Here is a 22,712-nt window from a genome sequence, read left to right as displayed (position 1 = left end):
GGGGGGAAAAAGAGGCCTATAGAAAGGGAGACATGTAAATAAAGAGAAAGAATGTAACTTAGCTTCACATTCCCAATTACTACACCTCTTACACGAAATTTGGTGCTTTGCAAATAAAGTGAGTGCTGATTTGTGGGATCAGACATAAATAGCAAGTGTTCTAAATCACATATAATCAACCATAAATAAGAATAAACTGAGGCATTACAAAAAACACTCAAAATTCCCAGATTAAAAGCAAGGTGCTTTTTCTCACATGAAAGTCCTGGGTGACACCACTCACTACACAATGCAGAGAGAAACAAGCTCCCATCTAGTTGGTTTTCAGGGCAGCATAGTAAATGTCAGGCTGAATCATGAACAGGGTCACTGCCACTAGAACAATGCTTGCAAAAGAGTATAGACCTTAACTCACTCTATAGATTAGGGAGTTGAGCATCAGAGTATTTCCAACCATGACAGTTTGAATTAGTTCTCTGGTAATCATTTACTAATATCTGAAATAAAAAAGTCAACTGGAAATGTACCTTTAATGTGAATCATCTGGTGACATCTCTGGAGAACTATAACTCTGAGAAAAGGAAAGTCAAGTGATTTGGAGAATACTCTTAATTTGCAAGCAAGAGAATCAGAAAAAATGGGCTGAAGCATGTGGCCACACACTGCTCTCCCTGTGTGGTGCCTCTAATATGTGACTGATAACCTTCCTTGTCTGTGCCTATGAAATCTCATTAAGATTGGCTATAGGTGGCAGGGCGCAGTGGCTCACGCCTGTAATCCCAGCACTTTGGGAGGCCGAGGTGGGTGGATCACTTGAGGTCAGGAGTTTGAGACCAGCCTGGCCAACATGGTGAAACTCCATCTCTAAAATTAGCCAGGCGTGATGGCGGTTACCTGTAATCCCAGCTACTTGGGAGGCTGAGGCAGGAGAATTGCTTAAACCCAGGAGGCGGAGGTTGCAGTGAGCCAAGATCGTGCCACTGCACTCCAGTCTGGGCGACAGAGCAAGACTCCATCTAAAAAATAAAAAAATTTAAAAAAAGGTTGGCTACAGATGAATTGTATCAGATCTAAATACATCTAGATTTAATTGTCCATTCACAAGTAGCTCTTCTCAACTCAGAAAACAGTTATCTCAGAGGTCCTTTCCCTACTCTTTTTCTGTGTTTCAAAGGAATTAGGATAACTGAATGCATATTAACAGAATGTGTCTCTTCATGTCTCTGACAGGAACTGGAACAAATGAAAGCTTTGCCACATTGCTTGCATTCACATGGTTTCTCTCCGGTGTGTGTCCTTCCATGATTTTGAAGGCTCTTGGCAGATGTGAAGGCTTTCCCACAATTCTTACATTCATATGGCTTCTCTCCAGTGTGCATCCTTCCATGTATAAGCAAGGAAGAGAAATTACTAAATGCTTTTATACACGCCTTACATTTAGCATTTCTCTGTAGTCTGTCTTTTCATGCATTCAAAGCTCCACAGAAGATATGAAAAATCCTTTCCCACATTGTTTATTCACAGGGCTTTTCGCCAGTGTGTGCCCTTTCATATCTACGAAAGGAACGGGAAAAACTGAATACCTTCCCACATTCCTTACATTCATAAGACTTCCCTTTTCTGTGACTCCCTTCATGTTTTTGAAAGGATGTAGGATTATCAAATGCTTTCCCACATTCCTTGCATTCATATGTCTTCACTCTAGTGTGGACCCTTTTATGATTTAGAAAGAAATTGGAACTATAGAATGATTTCCCACGGTCATTAAATTCATAAGGCTTTTTTCCAATATGAGTTAGTCCATGTATTCGAAGGCCACTCCAGTAACGATAGACTTTACCACACTGTTTACATTCATAGGGTTTCTCCCCAATGTGAGTCCTTTCATGTGTTCGTAGGTGTGAGGCAGATCTGAAAGCTCTCCCACATTGCTTACATTCATAGGGTTTCTCTCCAGTGTGAGTCATTTCATGATATCGAATGGAACTGGGCAAATTGAAGCCTTTGCCACACTGCTTACACTTATAGCGTTTTGCTCCAGTGTGACTCAATTCACGACACTGAAAAGCAGTGGAAGAAATACAGGCTTTCCCACATTGCTTACACTCATAGGGGTTCTCTCCAGTGTGGCTCCTTTGATGACGTTGAAAGGCATTGAAATAAATGAAGGGTTTTCCACATTGCTTGCATTTATAGCGTTTTTCTCTAGTGTGAGATCTTTCACATGTTTGAAATGAACTAGGAGAATGAAAGACTTTTCCACGTATCTTACGTTTATGAAGTATCTCTCCAGTGTCTATCTTCATGTGTCTAGGACAGCTTCTATGAAAAAATCCTTTCCCATGCTGTTTACATTCACAGAGTTTTTCAGTGTGTGTCCTTTCATGTCTCCGAAGGGAACTGGAAAAACTGAATACCTTCCCACATTCCTTACATTCATAAGGCTTCCATTTTCTGTGACTCCCTTCATGTTTTTGAAAGGATATGGGATTACCAAATGCTTTCCCACATTCCTTGCATTCATAAGACTTCTCCCTGGTGTGGATCCTTTTATGATTTAGAAAGGAACCAGAACTATAGTATGATTTCCCACATTCCTTACATTCATAAAGCTTTTTTCCAATATGAGTTACTTCATGTACCTGAAGGCCGCTCCAATAACGAGAGACTTTACCACACTGTTTACATTCATAGGGTTTCTCCCCAGTGTGAGTCCTTCCATGTATTCGGAGGCTTGAGGCACATCTGAAAGTTTTCCCACATTGCTTACATTCATGGGGTTTCTCCCCAGTGTGAGTCATTTCATGATATCGAATGGAATTGGGCAAATCGAAGCCTTTGCCACACTGCTTACACTCATAGCATTTCGCTCCAGTGTGATTCAACTGATGATATTGAAAAGAAGTGTAAGAAATATAGGCTTTCCCACATTGTTTACACGCATAGGGTTTCTCTTTAGTGTGAGTCCTTTGATGGTATCGAAAGGCACAGAAACTAATAAAGGCTTTCCCACATTTCTTACATCCATAAAACTTCCCGCCAGCATGAGGCATTTTATGTCTATGATAGAAACCAGAAAAACGGTATGTATTCCCAGAACCCTTACAGGCATGATACTTCCCTCCTCTGTGCATTCTTTCATGTATTTGAAAGGAAGATAAGTTATTAAATGCTTTTTCACATTTCTTACATTTGTAAGGTTTCTCCACACTGAGTCCTTGCATGCATTTGAAGTTCTGAGGCGCATCCAAAGGGTTTTCCAGATTGTTTACATTCATAGGGGTTCCCTCCAGAGTGAGCTCTTTTATGACTATGAAAATAAATGGAAAAACTAAATGTCTTCGCAGAATCCTTACATTCATAGGGTTTTTCTCCAGTGTGTGCAATTACATGTCTGCAAAAGTAGGGGAGACAGCTGAAGGCTTTCTTACAGTATGTACATTTATATGGCGTCTGTCCATATTCCTGATACTCATATGGCTTGTGTCCAGTGTCAGCTCTGGTGTGCTTATTAAGGGATAAATGACCCATGCTGACCTCACACACATTCCTTTCACATGATTCTACTCCAGTTTTCTTCTTCAGCATGTCATCCAGAACCTGGGTCAAAATTTCTCCATGCTGATGACCTTCACTTTCAAAGAGTCTCTCTTCCATAAGACCTCTGTGAAAAATGAAAAGCACATTTAATGGGTTTATCAGTGATTTTATATTCATTCACAAGTCTTACACTTGCATTTTTAACATTATCCAGCAAAGTGTAGGCTTTCTACTCTGTCTGAATTGTTTGAACATGAATGGACCACATGGTCTACCAGATGGCCCAGCCGTATCTATTATCAAAAAATATATGGAGCTTAATACGATTTCCATGTAAACTACTGTACACATACAAAAACTCTTTGTCTTTTAATTTTGTTTCTGAGAATCTTGCCCTGTTGCCCAGGCTACAGTCTAATGATGTCATCATGGCTCAGTGCAGCCTCAGACTCCTGGGCTCATGCAATCCTCTGGTCTGAACCTCTCAAAGGGTTGATTATAGGCATAAGCCATGGTGTCCAGCCTGTGTCACAAATAAATGCATGTTTTTAGAGAAAATATTCTAAGAATAAATATAATGGAACTCAGCTTTTTTGTTTGTTCCCTTCTTTTTAACATTTCCTCCCACTCTAAAATTTTCTAGAGACACTGCTTTGTCCTGTGAGTGCAGATTACCTTAGGTTGCTCCTGGGATTTTTGTACTCATTTTCAATGTTCTGGTCTTTCCATTTCTTCCCTAAAATACAGGCGCAGATACACAGGCCTGGATTAGTATAAAATTATGAAATGATTATTTGATTCTATGTTCATGATACACTACAACCGTGCCTCACTTACTCATCAAAGTATTGCCTGTCCATATTCCAAATTACTCAACAGCACTGATGAATGAGAAACACTTCTCTAATTCACTGAGGGAGTAATATTGTCACCGTTACCTATAGAGGCCAAGTTCCTCAAGGTTTCTTGCATCACTTCTCGGTAGAGATTCTTTTGGGAAGGATCCAGCAAAGCCCACTCGTCTGGGGTGAAGTTCACAGCCACATCCTCAAAGGCCACTGAGTCCTAAAACATCCCATATGTGTAGAGAAGGATGGGTGAGACTGATATCACTGGGCATCTATACCCTATTCCCAAGAAGTTCTCATGATGCTATGGACTCCAAAGATTTCATGACTTGGTCATCAGACCTCTTACGCTGCCTATACTCACTTTCTTCCATAAAGCAATTCCGATGCTACAATTTAACCATGGGGTAAAGGAACAGCAGAATAGGAAAATGTATGAGTTTCCGGTGAATCCACACAGAAAGATGTGCTTTCTGGGCTGCCCCTAATGTCTATTTGTAGTGTGGATCTGTAGTAGCTGCTGTAACAAAGTCCTGTAAATTCGCATGCAGAAAAAAGTTAACATGAGGAGTCTTGAGGCTGTGTATCCTTGAAAATGTCTGTTCCCAAGTTTAAACTTTCATGATATCTAGAAAGTAGATTTCGTTCTAAATACCAGCAACAGAAACAAACAAAAAACTGGATTTTGCGAGGGGCCCATCAATCTAACTAATAAGACAGTTATAAATAACTAAAAAAAAACCAAACTCATGAGAAGAAACGATTCTGGGAATCTCTGCTTGGGTAGTAAAGCCTAAATTGTAACTGAATTGCTCAAAGCTGAATGTCAACAAGATTGAGAGGTAAAAACCCCAGGGTGCCAAATCGTGACAAAAAGGCAAATATTTATCAAACATAAAAACGTTTGTGTGAACAGGCGTGGTGGTTCATGCCTGTAATCCCAGCACTATCGCAGGCTGAGGCGAGTAAATCACTTGAAGCCAGGAGTTTGAGACCAGCCTGGGCAACATGGTGAAACCCGTCTCTACTAAAAATAAGAAAATTAGCTGGGTGTGGTGGAACGTACCTGTAACACCAGCTACTCGGGAGACTGAGGCACGAGAATCACTTGAACCCAGGAGGTGGAGGTTGCAGTGAGCTGAGATCGTGCCACTGTACTCTAGCATGGAGACAGAGCGAGACTCTGTCTGAAAACAAAAACAAAACAAACTTTTGTTTATGAGAGGACACCATTCACAGAGGGAAAAGGCAACCCATGTGCTCTGTCCCAAGGATTATAAATGGCTCAGCCCTTCTGGAAAATAGTATGATAGTGCCTTTAAAAATAACAAAATCATGGCCAGGAATGGTGGCTCATGCCTGTAATCCCAGTACTTTGGGAGGCCAAGGAGGGCAGATCACCTGAGGTCAGGGGTTTGGGACCAGCCTGGCAAAAATGGCAAAACCCCGTCTCTACTAAAAGTACAAAAATTAGCCGGGTGTGGTGGCACACATCTGTAATCCCAGCTACTTGGGAGGCTGAGGCAGGAGAATTGCTGGAATCTGGGAGGCGGAGGTTGCAGTGAGCCAAGATTGCGCCACTGCACTCCATCCAGCCTGGGCGACAGTGAGACTCAGTCTCAAAAAAAACAAACAAACAAACAAAATTACCATATCTTCCAATAGCTGACTTGTAGGTCTATTTATACTGAATTAAAAAAAAAAAAAGTAGAAAACCAGATCATGGAGACATATTTGAAAACCACTGTTGACAATAGCCAAGAGCTGGATCCATCCACATGTCCACTGATGGTTGTATGCATAACAAAAATGTGGTAGGCATCTACATACAATGAAATATTATTTAATCTTAGAAAATAACACCCTGTCCCATGCTTCATACATGAAAATTCACGATGCTATAGAAATTACACAATGGTAGTCACACACAAAACAGATTATGATTCATCTTAGATAAGTTACACAGAGCTGTCTAAGTAAACTGTACACTTAAAATTGCTTAAGCTAATAAAATGTAATTTTATTTTATAGTAATTAAAAATAATAAATTCACTTTGGGAGGCCGAGGCAGGTGGATCATGAGGTCAGGAGATCGAGACCAGCCTGGTTAACACAGTGAAACCCTGTCTCTACTAAAAATACAAAAAATTAGCTGGGTGTGGTGGCACACACCCAGGGTTCCAGCTACTCGGGAGGCTGAGGCAGGATAATTGCTTGAACCTGGGAGGCAGAGGTTGCAGTGAGCCGAGATTGGGCCACTGCACCCTAGCCCGGCAACAGAGTGAGACTCCGTCTCAAAAAAAATAATAAATAAACAAATTACTGTCCCAAGTATAAAACTACTTGATCAAAACATGGGCAATGGGCTGGGTGCAGTGGCTCACAGCTTAATCCCAGCTCTTTGGGAGGCCGAGGCGGGCAGATCACTTGAGGTCAGTAGTTCGAGACCAGCCTGGCAACACGGTGAAACCTCATCTACACTAAAAATACAAAAATTAGCTGGGGGTGGTGGTAGACACCCATAATCCCAGCCCCTTGGGAGGCAGAAGCTGCAGTGAGCCAGGATCATGCCATTGTGCTCCAGCCGAGGCAAGACAGCGAGACTCTGTCTCAAAAAAAAAAAAAAAAAAAAAAGATAGGCAATGTAGTCCAATAACATTTCTCCAAGATAAATCCAAATGACCACAACACACATAAAAAAGGTGCTTAACATCAGGAATTATTAGGTGTACTTATTTTTTTTTTGAGTCAGAGTCTTGCTCTGTCACCCAGGCTGGAGTGCAATGGCACAATCTTGGCTCATTGCAACCTCCACCTCCTGGGTTCAAGCAATTCTCCTGCCTCAGCCTCCCGAGTAGCTGGGATTATAGGTGCCCACGACCATGCCCAGCTAATTTTTGTGGGTTTTTTTGTTTTGTTTTATTGAAATGGAGTTTTGCTCTTGTTGCCCAGGCTACAGTACAATGGCATGATCTCGGCTCACTGCAAGCGCCGCCTCCCAAGTTCACACCCATTCTCCTGCCTCAGTCTCACAAGTAGCTAGGACTACAGGCACCTGCCACCACACCCAGCTAATTTTTTTTTATATTTTTAGTAGTGATGGGGTTTCACCATATTAGCCAGAATGGTCTTGATCTCCTGACCTCATGATCCGCCCGCCTTGGCCTCCCAAAATGCTGGAATTACAGGCGTGAGCCAATGGACCCAGCCAACATAATAAAATTTTAAAGAGAGTCATATATGGCTCTGTGGGAATATAAAAATCAATTAAAATACTGCAGCTCTTTCAAATATGTCAGGGTGGATCCATAATTGAAGATGTCCTTTAGAGAGGGAAAGCGGGTATTTTGGAATATAGCGAGGAAATCAAATATTTAGGGATTGTCCTTCCTAAAAAGAGCCAGCTACGGGAGTCTTACGGACTTCTTCCTTCCTTGACCAAACATGAGTCAGGCTGCTTAGGCCCTCTTCTTGACCCGTTTTGTCCTTCTCCTGCAGAGCCCAGTTACATCAAAAATCCTTCTAAGGGAGTTCAGGGAGAATCCCCCCAAAACTTGATATTCAATCAAGTTCCATTTCCTCAACCCATGATAATTCATCAAGTTTCTCTACCTTGTTTTGAGACAGAGTCTCGCTCTGTCGCCCAGGGTGGGGTGTAGTGGCATCATCTCAGCTCACTGCAACTTCCACCTTCCAGGCTCAAATGATCCTCCTACCTCAGCCTCATGAGTAGCTGGGACCAAAGGCGTGCACCACCACTCCCAGGTAATTTTTTGTATTTTTGGTAGACATGGGGTTTACCGTGTTTTTGAGGCCAGTCTTGAACTCCTGAGCTCCCGCGTCAGCCTCCCAAAGTGCTGGGATTACAGGTATAAGCCACAGCGCTCGGCCCCTTTTCTTTTTTTAAAGTGTACAGCACTCAGTATTCCCAGTATTACTCTCATATAAGTAATAACCAGACCCAATCCTGGCAGGAACTGAGATCAAAAAAGATCAGGTGCATTCAGGCTGGCATGGCTATATGCTTTTCAATGTCTTCCTGGTGTGGTGTCCTTTGAAACACAAAAAAGTTTAAAATTTCAATGCAGTCTCAATTACATACTTTTTCTTTGTTCCTAGTGCTTGTATTGTCATATCATAGAATCTTTCCTAAATCCATGATCACGAATATTTTTGAATGGCACACTGTAGCATCAAGAGGGTAAGATTTTCCTTTGTTCCCGTGGGAGGATGAGAATGTGGTATTTGAATAATTCTGCAGGCTGACATAGAAATGAAACCCACTATACACTGGAGACTAAAACTATATCAATTTTATATACTATAATGTCATAATTCATTAAGTTGTTTACTATAATGCCATTTATATACAACAGCTATATACCACATTACAAGTTATATATAATATTTATGTTATCTATCATAACTAGACTATATACTATATATACTTTATGTGTGCATGTATATAAATGTGTATATATATGCATATTATAATGCTAGACTATAATACTATACATGAATATCTCTTTAAATGTTAACACACAAAGCCGGAGCAATATAATTGCAAAGAGAATCCACCCATATATGACAACATCTGTACTCCATGACAAAGTGGAATTTAATTCATGGAAGCAACATTGCTTACATTTCAAAAATCAACTTATGCAATACACAGTAGTTACAGAATCAACATCAAAAACCACAATCTAAACACATGCAAAAAAAAAGTGACAAACCTCAACACTCCTTCAAAATAGAAATAATCAGGAATACGAGGGAACTTCTACAACCTACTATAAAATATGTATAAAGGCTGGGCACAGTGTCTCACGCCTGTAATCCCAGCACTTTGGGAGGCTGAGGCAAGCGGATCACCTGAGGTCAAGTGCTCGAGACCAGCCTGACCAACATGGTGAAACCCCATCTCTAGTAAAAATACATAATTAGCTGGGCATGGTGGCTCATGCCTGTAATCCCAGCTACTTGGGAGGCTGAGGCAGGAGAATTGCTTGAACCCGGGAGGCAGAGGTTGCAGTGAGCCAAGATGGCGCCACTGCACTCCAGCCTGGGCAACAAGAGTGAAACTTCGTCTCAAATAAATAAATAAATAAATAAATAAATAAAATATGTATAAAAATGCATAGTTACCATCATATTTGGATGATCCACTGACAGTTAACAAAACTCAATATAACTAAGCAAACCTATAAACTAATTATTTTCTCCAAATTGTTAAGCCAACAAAGGCAAGCACTAAAGAAAGATTTTAAAAAATAAAAGGAACTCAGCAAAACCAAACCCTGCCTGTTTACCAAAAACATCACCAAAAACTGGCACTGCCTGCCCAGTGACATGTTTAATGGTGCCAGTATCTTGACTGTACAGGCATAGCATAATCATTTGTTCCCGAAACAGAGACTTGCAAGACTGGTCACATGAGGGTTTAGCTGTCTCTTAATCAGTGCAATTGACCTATCTGTGAAGAGGCAGAAATACTTAAATATGATGAGAAGACTCTACGGAACTTAAATTTATTAGTCCATATATCCAATAATTAACCTAACTTAACAGGTATTAACATTGTATCCAATGAACTAAAAATTTTAGTTGAGGTGACCTCAGAGCAAAATATAACCTCAAAATGATTTTGACTAAGACGTACTAGTCAAAGTAAACTAATCCTTCTTCTTAACAATAAGTTTATAATTAACCTTCTCCTACTTATTTCCCACCATTCTCACTACAGCAATCTTAACATTTGTTGAATGAATAGTTTAGGTTACATACAACTCTGTAAGGGACCTAACATCATAGGCTCATATGGATTATTCCAACCTTTTGCCAAAGCAATAAAGCTGCTCATTAAAGAACCACTACAGGCTGGGCATGGTGGCTCACGCCTGTAATCCCAGCACTTTGGGAGGCTGAGGTGGGCAGATCATCTGAAGTAAGGAGTTTGAGACCACCCTGAACAACATGGAGAAACCCTGTCTCTACTAAAAACACAGAATTAGCCAGGCGTGGTGGCACATGCCTGTAATCCCAGCTACTGGGGAGACTGAGCAGGAGAATCACTTTATAAAAAGTAAAGTAGAGGTTCCTCTTCAAAGACTTTCCTCCCCATCTAATTAAATTATAACTTCTCTTAAAAACAAAATTTATTCAAAATCCTATACTAACATTCTTAAATATATACTAGCTGTAATAAAAAAAACATCAATATACTTTATGTTGGGAGCAGGCCCCCCAAAATCTGGCCATAAACTGGCCCCAAAACTGGCCATAAACAAAATCTCTGCAACACTGTAACATGTTCATAATGGCCCTAACGCCCACACTGGAAGGTTGTGGGTTTACTGGAATGAGGGCAAGGAACGCCTGGCCCACCCAGGGCGGAAAACCGCTTAAAGGCATTCTTAAGCCACAAATAACAGCATGAGCTATCTGTGCCTTAAGGACATGCTCCTGCTGCAGTTAACTAGCCCAACCTATTCCTTTAATTTGGCCCATCCCTTTGTTTCCCATAATGGATATTTTTAGTTAATTTAATATCTATAGAAACAATGCTAATGACTGGTTTGCTGTTAATAAATATGTGGGTAAATCTCTGTTTGGGGCTCTCACCTCTGAAGGCTGTGAGACCCCTGATTTCCCACTTCACACCTCTATATTTCGGTGTGTGTGGTGTCTTTAATTCCTCTAGCGCCGCTGGGTTAGGGTCTCCCCGACTGAGCTGGTCTTGGCAAGTGGCGTCCATTCATGGGGGCTTGAATGCAGGTTGAAGGGTCGCCAGAGCAATGGTTGGAACGGAAAACTAGCTGGAGGACACCCGAGTACTCTTAAAGCAATCCCCATGGTGAGTAAGAAGGGGAGCTCGGAAGCCTCAGGGTAACAATGGGACAAGTATGGGGTCTGGTTCGTTTCACCTTGGAACTTCTTCACACTGATGATGAGGAGGAATGAGTGAATAATGAAGTAACAGAAGAGGTTACAGACGAGGTTTATTTGCCAGTTAAAGCTAAAGCAGGAAAGGAGGGAGAGATTCATCCCTACCCTTCTGTACCCCCTCCTTATTATTTTCAAGAAAAAGACCCTCCAGATCTTTCTTTTCTGGAGGACACTGGGCGAAAAGTAGTTGCCCCAGTGACTGTTTGAGCAGCGCCGAGTGACCACTCTTAGTTCTATTCAGGCAGGAATTCAGCAAGCTAGAGGAGAGGGTGATACAGAGGCTTGGCAGTTCCCTGTTAGAATGAATACACCCCCCAAGATCAACAGGGAAATATTACAGCTACATTTGAGCCTTTTCCTTTTAAATTACTCAAAGAATTTTAAAAAGCTATACATCAGTATGGACCAGGTTCTCCTTTTATAATGGGACTGTTAAAGAATGTTGCTGTTTCCAGTTGGATGATACCTACTGACTGGGATGCTCTTACTCGAGCTTGTCTAACTCCTGCTCGGTTCTTAAAATTTAAAATTTGGTGGGCAGATGAAGCTTCCATTCAGGCTGCTCGCAATGCCCAGGCCCAAACTCAAATTAATGTAACTGCAGACCAACTTTTGGGGGTTGGAGGCTGGGCTGGTTTAGATGCACAACTGGTCATGCGGGATGATGCCATAGAACAGCTTAGAGGAGTGTGCATTAGAGCTTGGGAAAAAATCACTTCAGGTAGAGAACAATACCCTTCCTTTAGTGCTATAAAACAGGGATCCAAAGAACCATACGTTGACTTTATAGCTCAGTTACAGGAGTCTCTTAAAAAGATGATTGCAGATTTGGCTGCTCAGGATATAGTGTTGCAGTTATTAGCTTTCGACAATGCTAATCCCGATTGCCAGGCTGCTCTGTGACCTATCAGAGGGAAAGCACATTTAGTTGATTTTATCAAGGCCTGTGATGATATCAGAGATAATCTACATAAAGCTACTTTGTTGGCATAGGCAATGGCAGGACTGAGAGTGGATAAAGGAAATACTCCACTTCCTGGAGCTTGTTTTAACTGTGGGAAGCATGGTCATACTAAAAAAGAATGTAGAAAAAAATCAGCGAGTCAGGCCGCCAGATGGGGAGAAAAGAAAACTGCTGATTCTGAAATATGTCCAAAATGTAAAAAAGGAAAACATTGGGTTAACCAATGTCATCCTAAGTTTGATAAAGAAGGGAACCCGATTTCGGGAAACGCCATGAGGGCCCCATTCTAAACCGGGGCATTTCTAGCTCAGGCCATTCCCTCACCCCTGTACAATGTCTGTCCACCCCCCCACAGCCAGTAGTGCTGCAGTAGATTTATGCTGCACAAAAGCTGTGAGCCTTCTGCCTGGGGAACCCCCGCAAAAGGTCCCAACAGGAGTCTGCGGACCCTTGCCAGCAGGGACAATAGGATTACTTTTAGGAAGGTCTAGTTTAAGTTTAAAAGACGTACAAATACATACAGGAGACACTGATTCAGATTATAATGGGAAATTCAAATTGTTGTATCTACTTCTGTTCCCTGGAAAGCAGAGCCAGGAGAGCGCACATAGCACAGCTCCTGATTGTGTCGTATGTGGAAATGGGGAAAAGTGAAATTAAACGAACAGGAGGATTTGGAAGCACAAATAAACAAGGCAAAGCAGCTTATTGGGTAAATCAAATTACTGATAAACATCCTACCTGTGAAAATAACTATTCAGGGAAAGAAATTTAAAGGTTTGGTAGATACAGGAGCAGACATTTCAGTCATTTCTCTACAGCACTGGCCGTCCACGTGGCCAATTCAACCTGCTCAATTTAACATAGTTGGAGTTGGTAAAGCCCCTAAAGTATATCAAAGTAGTTATATTTTGCATTGTGAAGGGCCTGATGGACAACCTGGTACTATTCAACCAATTATAACTTCTGTACCTGTAAATTTATGGGGGAGAGATTTATGACAATGGGGAGCACAAGTTCTAATTCCAGAACAATTATATAGCCCTCAAAGTCAACATACAATGCATGAAATGGGGTATGTCCCTGGTATGGGACTAGAAAAAAATTTGCAAGGTTTGAAAGAACTGCTTCAAGCAGAAAGAAAGTTCCTGCCAAAGATTAGGGTATTATTTTTGATGGTGGCCATTGTCAAGCCTCCAGAACCTATACCTTTAAAATGGTTAACAGATAAGCCAATTTGGTAGAACAATGGCCGCTAAGTAAAGAGAAACTGGAGGCTTTAGAGAAATTAGTCATTGAACAATTACAAAATGGACACATAGCTCCAACATTTTCCCCTTGGAATTCTCCAGTTTTCATAATTAAGAAAAAAATCAGGTAAATGGAGAATGTTAACTGACTTAAGAGCCATCAATTCAGTTATACAACCTATGGGAGCATTACAGCCAGGACTGCCTTCTCCTACTATAATTCCAAAAAATTGGCCTTTAATAGTCATATATTTGAAAGACTGTTTCTTTACTATCCATTTAGCTGAGCAAAACTGTGAATGGTTTGCATTTACAATTCTTGCAGTAAACAACCTGCAGCCTGCTAAGCATTTTCATTGTTTTACAGACGGGTCTAGTAATGGTAAAGCTTCTTATTCTGGCTCAAAAAGTAAAGTTTTCCAGACGCCCTATACTTCAGCTCAAAAAGCAAGAGCTTGTAGCTGTAACTGAGGTATTGACTGCTTTTGATATGTCTATTAATGTGATTTCTGATTCTTCATACGTGGTTCATTCCACACAGTTAATTGAAAATGCGCAGTTACGATTTCATACAGATGAACAACTGATTACTTTATTTACCCAGTTGCAAACAGCAGTTAGAAGTAGAATGCACCCTTTTTACATCACTCACATTAGGGCTCATACACCTCTTCCAAGACCTTTGATTGAAGGGAATCAAATGGCTGATCGCCTAGTTGCTAATGCAATATCTAATGCTAGACACTTTCACAATTTAACCCATGTTAATGCCTCTGGCCTCAAACACAGATACAGCATTACCTGGAAAGAAGCTAAAGCTATTATCCAGCGATGCCAACTTGCCAAATGGTACATTCCTCATCTTTTACAGGAGGATTTAATCCTCAAGGATTGGAACCTAACTCTCTTTGGCAAATAGATGTCACACATATTCCCTCGTTTGGTGCCCACATGTATGTGTGGACACCTTTTCTCACTTTGTCTGGGCTACATGCCAACAGGAGAGTCTTCTGCTTGTGTTAAACGTCATCTTTTGCAGTGTTTTGCAGTGATGGGCATTCCAGCTTCTATTAAAACAGATAATGCCCCAGGCTATACTAGCCAAGCTCTAGCTACATTTTTCTCTATGTGGAATATTAAACACATTACTGATATCCCATACAATTCAAGGACAAGCCATAGTGGAAAGAATGAATCTTTCCCTAAAACAGCAGTTGCAAAAGCAGAAAGGGGGAAATAGAGAATATGGAACCCCACAGATACAACTGAACGTAGCATTATTAACATTAAATGTTTTGAACCTGCCCAAAGGCCAGATGTTATCAGCAACTGAACAGCATCTACAGAAACCAGCTGCAAAGAAAGAAGCAGAACAACTGATTTGGTGGAGATATTCAGTAACAAAAAGTTGGGAAATAGGTAAAATAATAACTTGGAGTAGAGATTATGCTTGTGTTTCTCTAGACCAAAATCAATAGCCGATTTGGGTACTATCAAGACACCTGAAACCTTATCATGAGCCAGATGCTGAGGAAGAGACTCTGAGAGGATCCCAAGGACTCCCCGGTTGCAGCCATGTAGAGACTGACGCTGAGGAGGACCCCAACTGTCACGAGCAACACCCATCGAACACAGCCACCCACCTGGGGACAGATCAAGAAGCTGTCACAGATGGCGGAAGAAAACCTGAGGAAAGCGGGACAACCAGTCACAATGAATAATTTAATGGTAGCTATGACAGCAGTTATCACCACTACCTTGAGTATTCCTTCAATAAGGGCTGACACAGAGAATGATTATACTTACTGGGCATATTTATCAATCTTGACTGGTAATAATGCCTGGATGCAATCACTCTATGACACAGTTACACATGCTTTCTAATCTCAGTATTTACCGTAATAAATCTGCTCCTATAATTGAGGCATACCGCCCTCAAAAACCTATTTGTAAACAGGATCGGACCCAGTTAGAAAAAATGAACGTACTTGTTTAGGAAGATTGCATTGCGGAACAGGCAGAGGTGCTGCACAACAATTTCTATGGAATCATTATTAATTGGTCCCCTAAGGGGATGTTTAGCTTAAACTGCACCTCTCAGTCTACATGCCACGGCCACACTATGTTCAGCTGATCTGAACAAAACGGTCAGATGGCAGAAATGATAAGAAGTATGGCAAAAGTTCCTATTATCTGGAACCATGGCGGTATAGTGGCACCTCAACCTCAAATGATATGGTGCATTGTAGGAGCTTAATATAAGGATTTAAAATTAAAAGAACAAATATTTAAAGCATCCCAGGCACAGCTGACCTTAATGCCAGAACTGGAGTGCTTAAAAGGAGCTGAAAATGGATAAAAACACTTGGAAGTTCTGTGATTTCAATGATGACTGTGCTTTTAATCTGTGTTGTCCTTGTATAGTCTGCAGACGTGGATCCTGACTCCTGCGAGAAGTAGCTCACTGTGACAAAGCTGCCCTTGCTTTTATTGATTTGCAAATCAAAGAAAGGGGACATGTTGGGAGCAGGCCCCCCAAAATCTGGCCATAAACTGGCCCCAAAACTGGCCATAAACAAAATCTCTGCAGCACTGTAACATGTTCATAATGGCCCTAACACCCACACTGGAAGGTTGTGAGTTTACCAGAATGAGGGCAAGGAACACCTGGCCCGCCCAGGGCGGAAAACCGCTTAAAAGCATTCTTAAGCCACAAATAGTAGCATGAGCTATCTGTGCCTTAAGGACATGCTCCTGCTGCAGTTAACTAGCCCAACCTATTCCTTTAATTCGGCTCATCCCTTTGTTTCCCATAAGGGATACTTTTAGTTAATTTAATATCTATAGAAACAATGCTAATGACTGGTTTGCTGTTAATAAATATGTGGATAAATCTCTGTTCAAGACTCTCAGCTCTGAAGGCTGTGAGACCCCTGATTTCCCCCTTCACACCTCTATATTTTGGTGTGTGTGGTGTCTTTAATTCCTCTAGCGCTGCTGGGTTAGCGTCTCCCCAGCCAAGCTGGTCTTGGCAACTTTATATTCTTAACTCCCACAAGTTAGCCTAAATACTTGCCCTGGCATGCTTATACTGGTCCAAGCAAACATTAAGTCATAGCCTGTTCCTCTTCCTTAAACGTGTTTTTCCTTTCGCAACATTCCACGAGTTACTTCTTCCTTCCTTTATTCTCCTATGCCTTTGCCTCTTTAAATAGTTCTAAGTTACAGCTGGACATGGTGGCTCACGCCTGTCATCCCAGCACTTTGGGAGACCGAGGTGGGCAGATCACGAGGTCAAGAGATCGAGACCATCCTGGCTAACACGGTGAAACCTTGTCTCTACTAAAAATACAAAAATTAGCCGGGTGTGGTGGCGGGCGCCTGTAGTCCTAGCTACTCGGGAGGCTGAGGCAGGAGAATGGCATGAACCCGGGAGGCGGAGCTTGCCGTAAGCTGAGATTGCGCCACTGCACTCCAGCCTGGGTGACAGAGCAAGACTCCAACTAAAAAAAAAAAAAAAAAGAAAGAAAGTAAAAAACAATTTTATTCTTATGAATTCAGGTTTCAGGTATCATACCCATGATTTTGGTATGATCAACTTATGCATGTTCTTTTTTTTCTTACTTTTAAACTGGTTTTACATGCAAATAATGAACAGATGTTTTCCCCTAAATTCTACTTTCCAAAAACAAGAGCTTTTTAAAAGAAAACCACATAATAGATTTTAAAAGGCAATGAGATTCCTCTGCTTCTAGATAGTTGCTAGTCTAGAAAAAAAGTTGTTCTACCAGGAATCACAAGTTCTGAGTATTCTCCAAAGTGGAAATTCTAGAGAGCAGTGCCATTTCAGGCAAAGATTGTTCAGTTCTCATCCCCAATATCTACAACTACCTATCAGAACAATTAAACAGGTCAAAACAGTCCAGCATAATGAGGCTTCATCAAACAATGCCATTATGCTCTTCTAAGATGCAAATAAACCAAAACAGTAAATACTAAAATCAAAATAATATTTGACACTGTCATACAATTGTTAGTTCCTTGTTGTATTCCCCTTCTATAACTTTAAGTGAATTATTTTACTCTAACTAATATTTTATTTTGTACATCACTAGCCATGAATTTTTGCCATCAGTTATTACAGAAATGCGCCGCGTGCCATTATCCAAACAGCATAACCATTTAAATCCACAATTCACTTCTATAGTTATAAGCAGAATTTTCATGATTTTTACATAAGTACATCTGTCAGTGAAAATTTAACACTGAGATGCAATCTAACATCCGTAATATCTGATGTCTTGTAGACAGTAATGTAGGAAAAATATATTTTAATTACTTTTCATTTGAGTGACCTTATGTAAAAAATAAACTAAGAATTTAGCAGTTCTAATTCTCCAAGGGGCTTTTTCAAATGTACATAAAGAAATGGTTACAGAGATTTTTAAGAAGCACCTTCCATGTCCACATCCTGTTGTAAATGCTATACCATTTTCTCTTCCAACTGCTTCTCTTTGCCTGCAAAAGGGGCTAGGATAAGATGGATGTTTTGCTTGACTTCTTTGATATCCTGAACTTTCTGTAGCTCTTTATTTTTCTTCAATCCGTTCATTATAAATTTAGCTTGCCATTTCTGTTTGATCTCTTCAACTCTCTTCATTGCATCAATAGTTTTATTCCATAGCTCTTGCTGATATTTGATAAGTTCATTTCTATGTTTTTCAAATTCAAATGAATTGTCCACTGTAAGCTCTTTACTAGTTGCTTTCTGGAATGCTTTCGTCCACCTAACCTTGTGAGGATTGCACTTCTTTTTAAAGTTTTTATGACATTTAGATTTACAAAATCTGAACACCTTGCAATTGTTGCAGAAGAACATAATGCCATGGCCAGGGTAGATGGGCCCCAAACAGAAATAACACTTCTCGATATGCATGTTGAACCCGCGTGGGTCCCCACCGACCAAATGCCCAACTTAAGCATCTTCTGTGAAAAAACTGTTTACCCCAGACATGAGTCCTGTGCATATATCTCAATGCCCATCCTAATATCTAGTATCCCACCACAAACATAAAAAATATGTATGATAGAATGGTTACTTTAATATAATAAATTATAGAGGTTTAAACCCTCTTATTACTAGAACTGTAGGAACTGAACCCACTCCTGAGAATTCCAGATTCTCCATGGTACCTAGGACACCATATCCTACAGTAGGGTAAGCTAAATAAGCTACCCAGCCCATACCTTGAAAATGTTTATATCCTTCCTATTCAAATTCATCCCCTACATCTCCTCACTATTCTCTTTATATTATTTTCACAGAGACTCTGATTATAATAATGGACTTACACTGGCTCCTAATCTGAATGAGGTTAGATATATGCTAGCCATTATCCCCATTCTAACTGAAAAAGTGCCTGCTCCACAGAAGCCACCACCAAAGTATTTCCTTACATAAGCAACTGCATCTCTAATACTAGTAGATCCTAGTAGCTATCATCAACAATATGATATACTCCAGACAATGAACAATCACAAAAGCCCTAAACCAAATAGCATCCCTTATAATTATCACAGCACTGGTGATAAAATTAGGACTATCCCCCTTTCACTTCTGAAGTAATGCAAGGGGTCTCACTAATATCAAGTGTAATTCTACTTACATGACAAAAACTAGCACTGATCTCCATTTTATTTCAAGTCTACTCATCAACAGACTTAAACATACTATGGGAGATTGCAACACTATGGGAGATTGGTTAAGGGGACCTTAACCAAACACAGCTGTGAAATATCTTGGCCTATTTGGCAATTGCTCACAACAAATTGAATAATCACAATTTTAACATCTAATCCTTCTTTCACAATCCTAACCTATCAATTTATGTAAATCTAGCAATTACAATGTTTATACTATTTAACCTAATATACACAAAACATTATTATTATCCACATATGTAATAAATGACCACTCCTAACTTCCATGATTCTCCTCACTCCCTAAGGGGGTTACCCCCAGTTACAGGATTTGTGTGCCCAAATAGGTATAGGGTAAATCCCAAAGTGCTGAGATCACAGGAATGAGTCACCATGCCTGGCCAAATGTAATTTTTATTTTTTATTTTATTTTTTATTTATTTTTTTGAAATGGAGTTTCACTCTTGTCACCCAGGCTGGAGTACAATGGAGCGATCTCAGCTCACTGCAACCTCCGCCTCCCGGGTTCAAGCGATTCTCCTGCCTCAGCCTCCTGAGTAGGTGGGATTAGAGGTGCCTGCCACCATGCCCAGCTAATTTTTTTGTATTTTTATAGAGACGGGGTTTCACTATGTTGGCCAGGCTGGTCTCGAACTTCTGACTTCGTGATCCGCCAACCACATTGGGCAACATAGTGAGACCCCATCTCTTTAAAATTTTGTAAAATAAAGAAATAATAAATCTGTTATCAAGCCACATAGACACAAAGATACTTTAAATGCGTATTTTTACGTGAAACAAACAGGCCGAAATGGCTACTTACAACATGATTCCAAGTACATGACATTCTGGACAAGGCAAAACTCTAAAGGCAATAAAATCATCGGTTGTGCCAGGGATTAAGGGGTTAGTGGAAGAGAGGGAGGGGAGTGTGATGGCTACACAAAGCACAAAGGATTTTTAGGGCAGTGAAACTCTTCTGTGTAAGACTGGCAGGTATAGACTGGGCGCAGTGGTTCGCGCCTGTAATCCCAGCACTTTGGGAGGTCAAGGCGGGTAGATCACCTGAGGTCGGGAGTTCAAGACCAGCCTGACCAACGTGGTGAAACCCCAACTCTACTAAAATACAAAATTATCCAGGCGTGGTCGCAGGCACCTGCAATCCCAGCTACTTGGGAGGCTAAGGCAGGAGAATCACTTGAACCCGGGAGACGGAGATTGCAGTGAGCCAAGATCACGCCATTGCACTCCAGCCTGGGCAACAGAGTGAGACTCCATCTCAAAAAATAAATAAATAAATAAATAAATAAGACTGGTGGGCCAGGTGTGGTGGTTCACACCTGTAATTCCAGCACTCTGGGAGGCCAAGGCAGGTGGAGCATCTGAGGTCAAGAGTTCGAAACAAGCCCGGCCAACATGGTGAAACCCCATCTCTACTAAAAATACAAAAATCAGCTGGCAATGGTAGCGCGCACCTGTAACCACAGCTACTCAGGAGGCTGAGGCAGAAGAATTGCTTGAACCCAGGAAGCAGAGGCAGCTGTGGGCCGAGATCGAGCCACTGTACTCCAGCCTGGGCAACAAGAGCGAAATCCTGTCTCAAAACAAAACCAAAAACAAACAAAACCAAAAACAAAACTGGTGGGTATATGACATTTGTGTTGTCAAAACCCCACTGCTATCCTGCTCACTGATGTGCTCAATGACAGTTTCTCATCAACACTGTATTGTGTCATTCCCCACTGCACTGTGTACCCCACATACATTTTGATTTGCTTCACCCTGTTGGGGTGGGTTTTCATTGTCCTGTGGAATCATATTTCTCTGTTAAAAAAAAAAAAACACCATTAAAATACTTCATCTATTTGAAGGAAAGGATGAATATATTGTACAATAAAGAACAAATAGGCCGGACACGCTGGCTCCCGCCTGTAATCCCAGCACTTTGGGAAGCCGAGGCGGGTGGATCACTTGGGGTCAGGAGTTTGAGACCAGCCTGGCCAACCTGGTGAAACCCTGTCTCTACTAAAAATACAAAAATTAACCGGGCATAGTGGTGGACGCCTTTAATCCCAGCTACTCTGGGAGGCTGAAGCAAGAGAATCGCTTGAACCCGGAAGGCGGAGGTTGCGGCGACCGAGATCACACCATTGCACTCCAGCCTGGGTGACAGAGTGAGACTCCATCTTTAAAAAAAAAAAAAAGTACAAATAGTTGAAAATACTGTGAATTGGAGAAGAGGAGTTAATGTTTGGAAATGTGGGAAGGGAACTGAAAATGTAAGATGCTACCGCAAGCCTTTAAAGAGTTAGGCTGGGGTCATAGCGGGGAGGGTGTGAGACCCTGTATCCCACAGATTTGGAAAATGGAGGGAGAAACCAGTCCATGTGGACAGCGTGAAAAAATTTAAACAAGTAAACAGACTGAAGTGTGTGTAGTGCACTAAGGTCCTACCTAAGGGCACTGAAATCCAACTCAACTGCAATATTTCCAAATGTTTCTGGTAACAAACCACAAACCATGACTGCGTGATTCTCATTCATGAATTCCCATTTGCACAAACTCTTGAATTTTTATCAGTGCCTCTTTTTTTTTTTTTTTTTTTAGACGGAGTTTTACTCTTGTTGCCCAGGCTGGAGTGCAACGGCGGGATCTCGGCTCACCGCAACCTCCGCCTCCAGGGTTCAAGCGATTCTCCTGCCTCAGTCTCCCGAGTAGCTGGGATTACAAGCACGCGCCACCACGCCAGGCTAATTTTGTATTTTTAGTAGAGACGGGGTTTCTCCATGTTAGGTTGGTCTCGAACTCCTGACCTCAGGTGAGCCACCGCGCCCGGCCATTTTAACTTTTAAGAGGAGAAAAGACGACTGGGGACTCCACAGACCACCGCTTTTCTGACGCAAGAACCCTACACCCGAGACGGGATTCCCCCCATGATCCTCCTCATGGCCCAGCACAATCTGAGGAGACCCGCGGCTGAAGACGCGGAGCTGCCCAAAGAGGGCTCCGGGTCCGGGGCCGCGGTCGCTGCGAAGGGACGAGACAGGATGCCCCGGGTCCCGGCTGCCGGCCCAGCCCCACAGACCCCGGAGTCGCCGCGGGGAGGCCCGGGTCCCGCCACAGCCGGTTCCAGCAGGTTCTAAGAAGCCCTTCGCCCCCGTCTCAGGACGCCTGGCCCCACACACTCACCATGTCTGAGCTTCCAACTGTCTTCCCCAAGGCTCTTGTGACTAGAGAGGAACACAGCGCAACTGACAGAGCGACAGGAGCTCTGGCGGAGAAACCTGGAGCCTCTCAGAGCCGAGCGTTCCAAGAGCCAGAAAGAGGGTTCCAACGGTCGTTAGCACAGCAACAAGAGACCGCGGGCTTGCAGCCGTCTCCTTCCCCGAAAAAAGTTGGCAGGGCCCCGCCCCGGCGCTCCTGATTGGACCGTGCTCCCCGCCTCGCCTTCAGAGCCCTGAG

At 41.8% G+C, this 22,712-nt stretch overlaps 3 pseudogenes across 7 annotated transcripts, besides 1 other annotated feature; all 3 read right to left on the bottom strand.

The window, feature by feature from the left end:
- Positions 1-156: 156 nt before the first annotated feature.
- Positions 157-22,613, bottom strand: ZNF788P (zinc finger family member 788, pseudogene; annotated as a pseudogene). 7 transcript variants are annotated; one of them, NR_171040.1, is made up of 5 exons: positions 22,440-22,613; positions 21,015-21,074; positions 4,479-4,605; positions 4,216-4,276; positions 157-3,664 (listed from the first exon to the last, which is right to left on the bottom strand). The product of NR_171040.1 is annotated as a zinc finger family member 788, pseudogene, transcript variant 4 (transcript). The 7 variants fall into 7 exon arrangements; NR_171037.1 differs by lacking the exon at positions 4,216-4,276; NR_171041.1 differs by lacking the exon at positions 4,479-4,605.
- On the bottom strand, positions 8,296-8,413 carry RNA5SP467 (RNA, 5S ribosomal pseudogene 467; annotated as a pseudogene).
- RSL24D1P8 (ribosomal L24 domain containing 1 pseudogene 8) lies at positions 17,801-18,530 on the bottom strand (annotated as a pseudogene).
- Positions 22,198-22,427: a silencer, noted in NCBI's record as "silent region_10143". NCBI's record gives its function as "represses an Ori minimal core promoter by ATAC-STARR-seq in GM12878 lymphoblastoid cells {active_cell/tissue: GM12878}" and the evidence as "EXISTENCE:reporter gene assay evidence [ECO:0000049][PMID:35858748]".

Source organism: Homo sapiens, chromosome 19, assembly GCF_000001405.40.
Source record: "Homo sapiens chromosome 19, GRCh38.p14 Primary Assembly".
Taxonomy (NCBI): domain Eukaryota; kingdom Metazoa; phylum Chordata; class Mammalia; order Primates; family Hominidae; genus Homo; species Homo sapiens.
Note: the sequence above shows the minus strand (reverse complement) of the source record. Positions and strands in the feature narration are given on the sequence as shown.